Source organism: Homo sapiens, chromosome 1, assembly GCF_000001405.40.
Source record: "Homo sapiens chromosome 1, GRCh38.p14 Primary Assembly".
NCBI lineage: Eukaryota > Metazoa > Chordata > Mammalia > Primates > Hominidae > Homo > Homo sapiens.
The window spans coordinates 197,259,870-197,273,013 of NC_000001.11; the positions used below are offsets into that span (position 1 = coordinate 197,259,870).

At 34.8% G+C, this 13,144-nt stretch overlaps 1 protein-coding gene across 11 annotated transcripts in view; it reads left to right on the forward strand.

Annotated features, from left to right (window-relative positions):
- Nucleotides 1–13,144, forward strand: part of CRB1 (crumbs cell polarity complex component 1) — a 276,952-nt gene that overhangs the window by 58,366 nt on the left and 205,442 nt on the right. For 9 of the 11 annotated variants that reach the window (NR_047564.2, NR_047563.2, XM_017000852.2 and 6 more), the window contains exon 1: nt 8,383–8,613. The exons of the other annotated variants lie outside the window; for them this stretch is intronic. Coding sequence is in view for 7 of the 9 variants with exons in the window: in XM_017000852.2 (XP_016856341.1) it covers nt 8,544–8,613 (70 nt within the window). In the remaining 2 variants the exon portion in view is untranslated. Of the gene's footprint in view, nt 1–8,382; nt 8,614–13,144 lie in introns of those variants that run through there. 11 annotated transcript variants of the gene reach the window in all.

Genomic DNA, 13,144 nt, shown 5'->3' on the forward strand with positions numbered 1-13,144 from the left:
CCGGGCATGGTGGCTCATGCCTGCAATCCCAGCACTTTGGGAGGCCAAGGTGGGAGGATCGCCTGAGCCCAGAAGTTAAAGACCAGCCTAGGCACATAGTGAGGCCCCATGTCTAAAAAAAAAAAAAAAAAATTAACCAGGCACACGATGGAGCCTGGCTGTAATCCCAGGTACTCCAGAAGCTGAGGTTGGGAGGATCACTTGAGTTCAGGCTGCTGTGGCCACAAACTGAGATTGCGCTACTGCCTGCACTCCAGGCTGGGTGACAGAGTGAGACCCTAAAAAAAGAAAGAGAGAGAGAGGAAGAGGAAGAGGAAGAAGAGGAAGAGGAAGAAGAGGAAGGAGAAAAACAACTAAGTTTATTGGCAAAAGAATCACAAAGGTTTAATTAAACAAAATTTTTTTTTATATACGGGTTTCATACATGATTTTGTAGTTTGGACATTGGCTATCCATCTGGAAATAAAGTTAAATCTATAATTTAGAAATAAAATTAAAACTGTAAGTTAGATCATTCATAAAAATGTATTCCATGTGGGTTAAAGTCACAAAATTTTAAGAAATTTTAATATATGTATTTTAATTTTTTAAAATAAAATTTGGAATAAAACCCAATGGGAACCCCTGTGTTAGTAAGCCTGATAAGAAAAAAAAGCATTCTTCAATAACACAAAAATCAAAAGTCATAAAAACTTTTCAAAATCAAATAGATAAAGAAAAACTATAAACTTTAAGAGAAAATGAACCTATTGAGAAGGAACATTTTCAACATTTATAGCAGACTAAGAATTAAGATCAAATCTTTATAAGGAAATGCTACAACTAACTAATTTTTTTTTTTTTTTGAGACGGAATCTCGCTCTGTCACCCAGGCTAGAGTGCGGTAGGGAGATCCTGGCTCACTGCAACCTCCGCCTCCCAGGTTCAAGAGATGCTTCTGCCTCAGCCTCCCAAGTAGCTGGGACGACAGGTGTGCATGACCACGCCCAACTAATTTTTGTATTTTTAGTAGAGATAGGGTTTCACCATATTGGCCAGGCTGGTCTCGAACTCCTGACCTCGTGATCCACCCGCCTTGGCCTCCCAAAGTGCTGGGATTACAGGCGTGAGCCACCGCGCCCGGCCTCTAAATAAAAATTTTTAAAGAGTTAATTGAAAAGTGAATATGATATGAGTTGGCAAATCATTGAGGAGTAAATGCAAATGCTAAAAGAGGCTCAATTTTTCTAAATATGAAAAATACACAAATTTAAAATTTCAAGTTTTTTGTAATTAATTTTTAAAAATCTATACAAACACAGAATAAATGATATGATATACCTTTACATACCCAATAGCCAGCTTCAAAATTTATCCTCAAAATTTCTGTATTTGCCTAAGGTAAATTTTAGCATTTACCCTAGAGAAACTCTTGTGCATTTGAACAAACGGGTGTGTAAAATGATTTTTATTAATCATTGTTTGCATAAAGTAAATTGGAAACATTGATTCCCAGAAAAATGAAATCATTAAACTATAGTACATGCATACTATGAAATGCCGCGTGGCATTAAAAAGTATGTGAGTTAAATGCCAAAATCTTCAAGACACGCTGTTGAGTGAGAAAAGCAAGTTGCAGAATAATACATAGAGTATCATACTGTTATTTAAAAAAAGAAGCAAAATAATATTTATGTCTCTATTCATCTATCCATCATCTATCAATCATTTATGTATTTATCAAACTGTAGCATAGAGTGGTATAAAACGATATTCATTAACAAATAACAATGATTACTTCTGGAGAGGAGTGTGGGATTGTTGTTCATCAAAGATTCTTTATATTTATCCTAATATTTGGGATTTTTCACAATAATACATTTATAATTATGTAATTAACAATAAATACCATTATAACAATAATTAAGAGCATTGGAATAAGCAAGTTGGGTGTGAATCTGAACAGCAGCACTTATTATACAGGTAACTTGGGTCTCTCAATCTCTTTTTTGCCATTGTCAAATAGGGTTAATTTAATCTACTTTGTGGAGATGCTGTATTAACTGAGATAATGTGCATAAAATAATCTATAATATAGAGTTGGTATTGAGCTGAAGATAAATCTTTGTACTCTTATTAAATCAATTTTGAATATCAGGGAACTGGGAGAAAAAGTACTTTTTTCCTCAGAAGACTGCATCTGCTCACCAGAGTTTAATTCAACAAGGGTGATGACCCTGTCTTAAACTTGCAAATTACTGATGATGACTCTAGTATCTGATGTATTGCAGGTGTACATATAATATACCTTTTGTATAGTACGTGTAAAACAAACAAATGCTTGTACATTAATATGACATCAATAGTGTCCACCAGTAAGAACAGCTGTCCTACTTTCTGAAATTGTATCTCCAGAACCTACTATGTTCTGGATCTTCACTTGGTTTTGAATAGACAGCTCAAATTGAATATATTTTAAAACTGTACCTTCTATTTTTGTCTATAAATCTTCCTTTTCTTCTATTTTCTTTGTTTTATGGCACCTAATTTATTCTTGAAAAGTCTTTCATCATTTTGATTATTGTTCTACTGTAAACATTTTAGACTTTAACGACAAATGCTGCTGACTTTGTAAGATTTTATTTTGCTTCTTTTACTGCACTGTATGTATTTATTTTTCTTTTTTAAAAAATTTAACTTTTAGATACCGGGGGTAGATGTGCAGATATGTTACATGGGTATATTGTGTGACACTGAGGTTTGAGGTATGAATGATCTCATTGCCCAGGTAGTGAGCATAGCACCCAATAGGTAGTTTTCAGCCCTTCACCCCCTTCTTCTTAACAATAGTCCTCAGTGTCTATTGTTCCCATCTTTATGTCTATGTGTACCCAATATTTAGCTCCCACTTATAAGTAAGAACATGCAGTATTTGATTTTTCTCTTCCTGCATCATTTTGCTTAGGATAATGGCCTGCAGCTGCATCTATGTTCTTGCAAAGGACGCGATTTTGTTGTGTTTATGGCTACAAAGTATTCCATCTTGTATAAGTATCACATTTACTTTATCCAATCCATCGTTGATGGGACCCTAGGTTGATTCCACGTCTTTGCTATTATGAATAGCGCTGTAATGAACATATGATTGCATGTGTATTTCTTGTAGAATGATTTATTTTCCTTTGGGTATATACCCAGAAATGGGATTGCTAGATCAAATGGTATTTCTGTTTTAAGTTCTTTGAGAAATCTTCAAACTGCTTTTCACAGTGGCTGAACTAATTTACATTCCCATCAACAGTGTGTAAGTGTTCCCTTTATCTGTAGCCTCACCAGCATCTGTTGTTTTTTGACTTAAAAAAAAATATTCTTTCTGACTGGTGTGAGATGGCATCTCATTGTAGTTTTGATTTGCATTTCTCTGATGATCAGTGATGTTGAGCATTTTGTTACATGTTTGTTGGCTGCTTGTATGTCTTCTTTTGAGAAGTGTCTGTTCATGTCTTTTGCCCACTTTTTAATGGAGTTGTTTTCTGCTTGTTGAACTGATTAAGTTCCTTATAGATTCTGGATGTAGGACCTTTGTTGGATGCATAGTTTGCAAAAATTTTCTCCCATTCTGTATATTGTTCACTCTGATGATAGTTTCTTTTGCTGTGCAGAAGCTCTTTGGTTTAATTAGGTCCCAATTGTCAATTTTTGTTTTTGTTGCAATTTTGTTGCACTTTAAATGTAATATTTCCTAGGGATTCAGTGAGCTTTTCTAAATTGGAGAAATCATATTTTTTCATATCTGAAAACTGTAGTCCATTAGTTCTTGATACTTACCTTCTCCCACTTTTTTCCTTGCTTCTGAGATAGAACTTTCTATTTTCCGTGTCTCTTTATTGTTCATTCTTTTTCACCAACTCCTTATCTCACATTGATCTATTCTAAAAAAAACTTCAGATCTATCTTCTGTTTAGTATATTGTAGTGTCATCTACTATTTATTAGTTAAATTTTTGAAAAAATTTTAATGACTTTTTTTATTTTTAGAATTTATGTTCAGTTTATTTTCGAATAGGCCTAATCATTTTTATCATGTCTTGTTCTTGTTTTATAAAATAAATACATTCTTTTATCTCTTAAAATTTTTTATTTGTATGTATTTAAAAGGCACAAGTGCAATTTGTTACATGGACATATTGCAGAGTAGTGAAGTTTAGGCTTTTAGTGTATCCATCACCAATGTACATTATACCCATTAAGTAACTTGTCATCATCTATCCCTCCTCCAACTCCCTCAACCTTCCAAGTCTCCATCATCTATCATTTCACACTCTGCATCTATGTGTACACATTATTTAGCTCCCATTTATAAGTGAGAACATGCGGTATTTGTTTTTCTGTGTCTGAGTTGTTTCCCTTCAGATAATAGCCTCCAGTTCCATCCATGTTGCTGTAAAGACATGATTTCATTTTTTATGGCTGAATTGAATTCCATTGTGTTATATATACCGTATTTTCTTTATCCAATCATCCATTGATGGACATTTAGGTTAGTTCTATATCTTTGCTGTTGTGAATAGTACTGCATTAAACATATAAAGTACAGGTATCTTTTTCATACAATGATTCCTTTTCTTTTGGGTAGCTACACAGTAATGGGATTACTGGATCAAATGATAGTTCTATTTTAAGTTCTTTGAGTAATTTCCTTATTGTTTTCCGTAAAGGTTGTACCAATTTACCCATACACAGTGAATAAGAACAGTGCATTCTTCTTTTTTTTTTTTTTTTTTGAGACAAAGTCTCACTCTGTCGCTCTGTCGCCCAGGCTGGAGTGCAGTGGCATGATCTCGGCTCACTGCAACCTCCGCCTCCTGGGTTCAAGGGATTCTTGTGTCTCAGCCTCCCAAGTAGCTAGGATTACAGGTGGCTGCCACCATGCCCGGCTAACTTTTGTTTTTTTTTTAGTAGAGACAGGGTTTCACCATGTTGGCCAGGATGGTCTCAAACTCCTGACCTCATGTGATCCACCCGCCTCAGCCTCCCAGAGTGCTGGGATTACAGACGTGAGCCACCACGCCCGGCCAGAACAGTGCATTCTTTGTTTAACATATTTTCTCAACCAGTTATTTTCTTTGATTCTTTTTTTCTGTTTCTTAACAAAGTGTTATTTTATAATCTCTTAAGTTAGCTCCATTATCATGAATCTTTTGAGTGTGAATTTTCCCACTCATTGTGTCCAATGTCTGTCATGGCAGTGGGTTTCTAGTTTGATTTATAGTTTTAAGCTGTGAGCTCATCTTCGGTAGAGGTTGGCTTCCATGGGAACCATTTGTGAACTGTGAATTGTAGCATTTCCACATGAGAGTTTAGTTTCATCTCAGTTCTCATTGATTTCCCTGTTTCTGAACTACTCTTTTCTTTATTTCCTTCTTTCTTCCCTTCCTTCCTCTCTCCTGCTTCTTTCTTTCCTTTCTTTCTTCCTTCCTTTTGTCCTTTCTTCCTTCCTTTTGTCCTTTCTTCCTTCCTTTTGTCCTCCCTTCCTTCATTTTTCCTTCCTTCTTTTCTTATCTTTCATTTGTTCCTTCCCTCCCTCCCTCCTCCTCTTTCTCTCTCTGTCTTTCCATTCCAAAAGTCAAGAATTGTCTACCTCAATTGGTTATTTTACTTTATTGCTGTTGAGCTCACTTACATATTTCTATAAAAGTTACACTTTGCTCAAATATAGACATATATTTAAATGTGTTTGACTTGGGAAGGATGGTTTTTGCTGTTTCTTGTATAGGTGCCCTTGTCTATATTCTTCATTTTTATGAATGACAATAATAGCCCAAATGCCGAAGCTCAAAACCTGATAAAATTCGTTTTCATGTTGCCTTAATCTCTATATGTCTTTAGATGTATCTAGTTTATTGCTGTTTTGTTTCATTTTATCATCCCCACTGTCTCTGCTTTAGTTCAGTCCCTTATCATCTCTCTTGTGGACAACGGCAATATCCTTCTCACTGGTTTCTGTGCTTTCCATCTGCCCTTTTCCAAACATTGCTACATTGCTGCTAGATTTATCTTTCTAAGCACAACTCTGAGTATGTGAATTCACTACTTAAAACCTATTAATGGTGTCTTTTCCTCATACTGAAAATCAAACTTCCTTGATTTTGTGGATTTGCTGAGTCTTATTTCCTGACATCTCTTCACACCTATGTTTCTGCAATATCAGAATATTTCTAGTTTCTTGATTTGCCCAACTGCTTTAGGCCTCTATTCCTATATACATATCCTTTTTCTGTAAAACTCTTAAACTTCACTCTTGCCCTATTTATTTGTTATACCTTTAGTTTTTTCATACTGCTATAACAAAATTTAGACTGGGTAATTTATAACAAGAGAAATTGACTTCTTATAATTTTGGAGACTGGGAAGAGGAACATCAAGGTACCAGCAAATTTGGTAGCTGCCAAGGGCCTGTTCCTCATAGAAGGTTCCTTCTATGTGTCCTCATGTGGTGCAAGGGGCAAATAAACTCCCTCAGGCCTCTTTTATAAGGGCAGTAATCCCATTCATGAGGGTTAGGTCTAACCACCTTTCAAAACTCCCCACCTCTTAATACTATCACATTGGGGATTAGGTTTCAACATGTGAATTTGGGAAGGGGGGAAAACATTCAGACCGCAGCATACCCATACTTATGCTTGAAAATTCAACGTAAATATTATATGTTTTTCTAAAGGAATTCCTGACTAGCCCAAATCTGACACATGGTAGCCATTGACTCATTTGTATAATGGCTATATCCACTTACTTTTTTATATTCAAACCCCATGTATATAATTCCTATAACCATCCTTTGTATAACATGTTCTCTCAACCACTTATTTTCTTCGACACTTTTGTCTTTTGAAAAACTAATTTTCTTTGTTTCTTTGATTGTGACACTCATAATTAAAGACACCCTAACAGAAGGCTTTCTAATACCATAAGATTCTTTACCTGAGTCTATTCATTTTTTTTTCCAGTCTATCAATCGGCCTTCCATGTTGTAAATTCCTTAGTCTTGGGGTTCATGGTGGAGGCCTTTTTAGAACGAATGGAGATCAAGTTGGTTCAGTATGTAGATGTCCCAGAATGGTATCGTTGCAAAAGGCATGACAGAAAACATAAGAATAAAGATGAAAAGAGACTTCACAAGATTTAGTGAAGAACTAATGTTCTAGAAATCATGGGAAGACTCTGGTCCTAATGTTGACACTGACCCACCAGATGACTCTGGGCACACAGAATAATTGCTCTGCTTCTCAATTCTCCAATTGACAAAACACAGGGATTAGAATAGGGAGTTAATAATGCTTCTGTAATCTGAAATTCTTTTACTCTAATTGTTAAATTGCCCAAGTTAAATTATTTGCATGAGGGGAGGAAAAAATCTTTAAAAATAATAATTGTCATGAATTCTATAAAAATTAAATAATTTTAAATGGATAAATCCTACTTCAGCAAGTAAATCTGTGAGTATGTGAGAGAATAATATTGATAAAAAACATTAAGCTGACTGTCAAAATATTAGAGACATGGGCAGAAAATATAAAGACTTCAAAATATATGTTATATAGTTAAATATCTGGCAGATTTATAAAGCTTTGTAAAAATCAGCTATAGAAATTGCATTTTAAAGTGTAACAGTGAACAGTTTTAACAATGGAAAAAGGCTCTGTACTAGCACTAACACCAATTAGAAAATAAAGCATTCTGGTTTTAATTAATGGATGTTTTCATGGTGTCTAATAAAAATACAATTTTAAGGACTTGAACAATTTAATCTGAGAAAATATTGTGTATTTAAAGCAAGTGTATTTTTTAAATAAGCAAACATGTTTACATTCATCAATTATAGTAAAACAAAAGCTCAAGAAATCCCAGAGCATATAATTTCATGAACCGAGAATAAAATGAGCTCTGGACTTACGACAAAATCTGCCCCTGAATGATCTTCAGAACTCTGTTCATTTTATGCAGTAGTTTAAGTTTTCTTCTGTCTTGGCCCAACTTACAAACAGCAGAAATCTGAGTTGTGGGAATATAATTTATGAACAGAAAAGATTACTTGTCTGTGAATTATTTTCTGAAGATGAAAGTAAATATACAGGAACATACGGTATTCCTTTAAAAGTTGCCAGATCATAATTGTGTGGCAAGGCAGTTATCAGAAATTAATCCCTCTATTGAGAGCAATTGAAGACACTATTCTAATGTAGGCCCTTTTGAGGAGGCAGCATGAACAGAAGAAAACTCGCAGCAAAGGCTTGAGGGGGGAATGAATCCAATCCAGCCTGAAAAAATCTGCACCAGGTTTGAAAAATCACCCCATCCTCCCGTGTAAGTGATGCTAAGAAGCACAAACTGCATTTTGAATCTAAGTCCCTGTATTTTCTGTGAAGGAGCTGTAAGTAGGGTGGGACAGAGATGGCACCTGGGGGTTCTGAGGCACCCGCTCCTCTCTGAGACAGACAGGGATCAGGAGCCGGACTGGGACCAGACCACCAGCAACACACCAGAGGATGTTCTCTAAATAAGACCATGGCACTTAAGAACATTAACTACCTTCTCATCTTCTACCTCAGTTTCTCACTGCTTATCTACATAAAAAGTAAGCCTTTCCCACTTTGGGCATTTTTCCTGGTTTATTTCTGGCTTATTATATTTCTTACAAATAATGGATAATGTTGCATGTTCTATAAAATACAATGCTAAAAAAGGAAGTTTTTATTTGTTTTTTTTTTAAGTGTCCTGTGTTAAAGAAATCAGTGATACCAGTCAATGTGAACAGTCAGTTTTAAGATTCTATGATTTCCAATAGGTATTCAGGTACAGAAATTTTGTTTTTAACCTTTGTAGTAGTGAGCTGGAGAATGAAATGGTCACATAGACTAGAAGATATTTTGTTGTGTTTACGCTTTTACAAAATAGATTTGGCCCTTACTAATTGATATCCTTTAAAAGGAAGTTATTCATAACCTGTATTTCATTTTATTCCCACATACTATATATTTATCTTCACTTTTAAATAACTCTGTGTTGCAACATTTGCTCTCATAATTAAGGGGATAGTCTCAATGTTTCCCAGAGGATAATGGTTCAAAGTGTTTCTTTCACCAGAGAAATGGGCTTTTACTGTTATGTGTTTCTGTTTTATAAATGAAGATATTATTTTCCACAAACTTCCCCAAATAGAAGCAAGAGCAATGTTTCTGAGATAATCTTGTCGGTTCTATAGCAGGATGGAAAATCAGAGGAGACCAAATTGCCCCAGCTGTGTGTTTATGAAGCACAGTAGCTATTCAACACGTTTAAAACGAAGACAGGGAGAGTGTGTGCTTGTCAAAGGGGCCATGTGATTTGTGTCTGTTGAATCTGAATATCAATAAGGCAAAGCGTAGAGCAGCTGCCGTTGAACAAGACAACTTGGCATTAGCACACAGTGTTGGATAATCTGGGTCACCTTCTGTGGCTGCACCAGTGAGATTGTTACTTGTACGGTTTACAGTTGAACATATATTAGAGACTGAGTGAAGAAATAAGTAAATGCTGTGGGTAGGTAGCTGATGGCACATATAGAAAAACCAAGTCAAACTTTAAACAAATGATCAGTATAATACTTGACTGCAACGCACACTCACAAAAGATTTTTTTTCATATATATTTACTAAAGAGTTGTTATTTAAATAGTTATTTACCCTCCTTGAAACTTAATGTGGGCCCCAGGCAATGAGGAATGAGGAAGAGAAGTGCTGTGTTTAGTTGTGCAGGTAGGAGAAGAAAGGGAGAAAAAGAAATAAGTCATAAAATGAATGTGAAGTGAGTTTATGGTGCATTTTATGGCAAACAGCTTTGTCATTCAATGTAATATATATGGAAATTCCTGGAGTTTGCTGCAGTTTGTTTTAAAGGAAATGAATGTATGATATCTTTAATTAAAAGTATAGTAACTATGAATTGATAAATATATATCATTTGTTTTTGCTCTCTTTGAGTAAGTGATTTTATTGATAGATTCTAAATACTTTGTAATTATTTTATTTGTTCTCCAGCATAGTATTTTTATTCGTTTAAAAAAGTACATTTGAAGTCTCATTTTCTTCGATTTTTAAGCAGGTAGACTTTTGTCTGTGTTGATATATTTATTGGCAAGATATAATCATATTGCTTTCCCAATCAAAACACGTAGTTTAGACCTTGTTAGCTGAGTTTTTTTCCCACCTGACTTTAAAACAATCTAGCATCAGCCTTCCTTTCTACCCTTATTACCTAGTATTCTTGACACAAATTCTGTGTTCCAGACAAGTGAATAACATAATATCTAGCAGTAAAAATTGCTAACATTGTGTTAAGCATTTTCTATATCATATATGTCATTTACTTCTTGCAACAACCCTATAAGATAGATACTATCATAGTAATTCACATTTTATAGAAGATGAAACAAAGATTCAAGTCACTATACCAGTGTACCTCAAACTTTGAGGCACCTCAGGGAGCTGGAATGCCTGGTTAAAATGTGCAGCCTCTCAAGTCTAGCCCCAGGTACTTAGTAGATCCTAGGAAACTATAATTTAATTAGCTCTTCATTTCAAATACAGGTAACCAGAAGCTCTGAGCTATACAATAAATCTTTATTAAGAACCTACTACATAATGATGCTAGGAATCATCAGAATAGTTAAATATAAACATATCTCTCTCTTCAATGAGATTATTTAGGAGAAAAGATAAACACTATGAGCTTTATAACTGTTGTCACTCTTATATACATAATAACCCTGTCAAGTAGAATTTATTATTAATTCCATTTTGCAGCTGAAGAAACTGAGGCACATAGAGGTTTATTAATTTGTCCAAGGCCATACTACTAGTGAATGGTAGATCTGGAATGTGAACCTGGAGATCTGGCTCTGGAGTGTGGGCTCTTAGCTTGCATGTAGTTATTCCCATGAAGTGATAATGCATAAGGACTTTAAGTGATAATGCTTAAGCAGACTTTATTATGTTCTGCTTGGAACATAATAGCAAACAAAGAAATGTCCATTATCCAGGTATGGTGGCTCAAGCCTGTAGTCCCAGCACTTTGAGAGGCTGAAATGAGTTCACTTAAGCCTAGTTCAAGACCAGCCTGGGCAACATAACAAGACCTCATTTCTACACACAAAAATATAAAAAATTAATGGGGCATCGTGGTATGTGCCTGTAGTCTCAGCTACTCAGGAGGCTGAGGTGGGAGGATCGCTTGAGACTGGAAGGTCGAGACTGCTGTGAGCCATGATCCTGCCACTGCACTCCAGCCTGGTAAAAAGGGCTACACCCTGTCTCAAGAAATAAAAAGAAAGGGAGAAAGAAATTTCAGTTATTAATATCATATTAATTGAAGGAATCAATGATTCTTTCTTCGAACTTTGAAATATGTTCCCTTAAATTTAAGAGAAAATAATCACCTCCAGCTCCATACTGTATTTTGTATCTAAAGTTCTACCTTGCTCAGCTACCAGGGGAACGCTGTTTATGTTTTGATCAACCTTTATGTCCTTCCAGTTGAGGACATGTGACATGAGGAATATTAGAGCAGAGTTCAGGAAGTGACATTCCCTTTCTGTTCCTGAGCAGGTAGACATTCTCCTAACTTGGAGTTGCAATGAATTTGTCCTGATTGTTTTTATACCTGTTCCTTGATTTTGCAAAACTGGTTCTAATGTGTGGGACCAATTAAATTTTAATAATTCAAGAAGAGCTATTATTTTTTGCTTCTGATGTATTAAAAGAGAAACTTATTAGAGTGAGACTCTCCTGTGATCCATTATTCAGAGACTGTTTTAAATAATAACAGTACTTTATAATAAACTCTTTTTGGGACCTTGATGTATGAATCTGTTCTGAAGGGTTTTAAAGAAACAACCATACCATGAATTAGAAAAGTAATGTCTATCTCTCTAGTCCTTTATAAATTTGGGGGTAAACAATATTTTCAATGTAAATGCCACATCGAGATTAATTTAAAAGTAACTGTTTTAATCTACGTTTAAAGTATGATCACAACATGTAAAAAAAATGTGGTTTGACAAAACTACTTTAGAGTTACCAGAACAATGTTAAAGAGTTTGGGGTAGCATCCAGTCTTCCAAAAACCATTAGCAATTATTAAGTAATTGATTTGAATGGCATTATTTTAAAAAGTACTTTCTAAAGTACTAAAAGAATGAAGAACAAATAGAGATTAAATAAGAAATAATTGAATTTGCTTAATATGTCAGAGAAGGCTGATGTTATTCATTAGGGAGTAATCACATACTCTTAAAATTCTACATGTGTAGAAACATTGAAAACTTTGATCGTTACTGTGCAAGTTAATATCCTTGCAGTGGCATTTTGTAAAGTGCCTACCTAATTATTAGTGTGAGAAAAAGGTATCTTTTTGCTTCCTCATAAATGAAATAATCTCATCAGTTTACAGTAAAATCATCACTACTCCATGAAAGTTACCCAGGGTTTCCTACATTACATAGCAGAGTTAACTGTGGCTTCTTTTATTAGATACTTCTCTTAGCAAAATTTTCTGGAGAATTGCATGCTTTTTTTTCATCATTGGTGATTTTCAAAAATTATCATTCATGGTCTCACAATAACAAATACTGGAATTCAAGTGGACAAGAAAAGTTAGAGTGAGTGTTTAAGCAAACCGTGCTACATCTATATAATGGAATATTACTCAGTAATAAAAAGAAATGAACTATCAAGTCACAAAAGCACATGGAGGGAGCTTAAATAAATATTGCTGTGTGAAAGAAGCTCGTCCAGAAAGGCTACATATTGTATGATTCCAATTTTATAGCATCCTGTAAAAGACAAAATTATAGAGACATGGAATGATCAGTGGCTGCCAGAGAATCAAGGGTGTAGAGAAGAGGCACAGGGGACTTTTAGAATAGTAATTATTCTGCATAATACTTTAATGGTGCATTTGTCAAAATGTACAGAATTTTACAGTACAAAGAGTCAATCTAATTGCATGCAAATTTATAAAATCATTTAGGAAATCAAGGAAATCCCAGGAAGTAATTCAGACTCTGACTCAACAATCTAACTGCATTACAAATGTATGAGATAATCTCACAGAAGGGGTTGGGGAAAAAC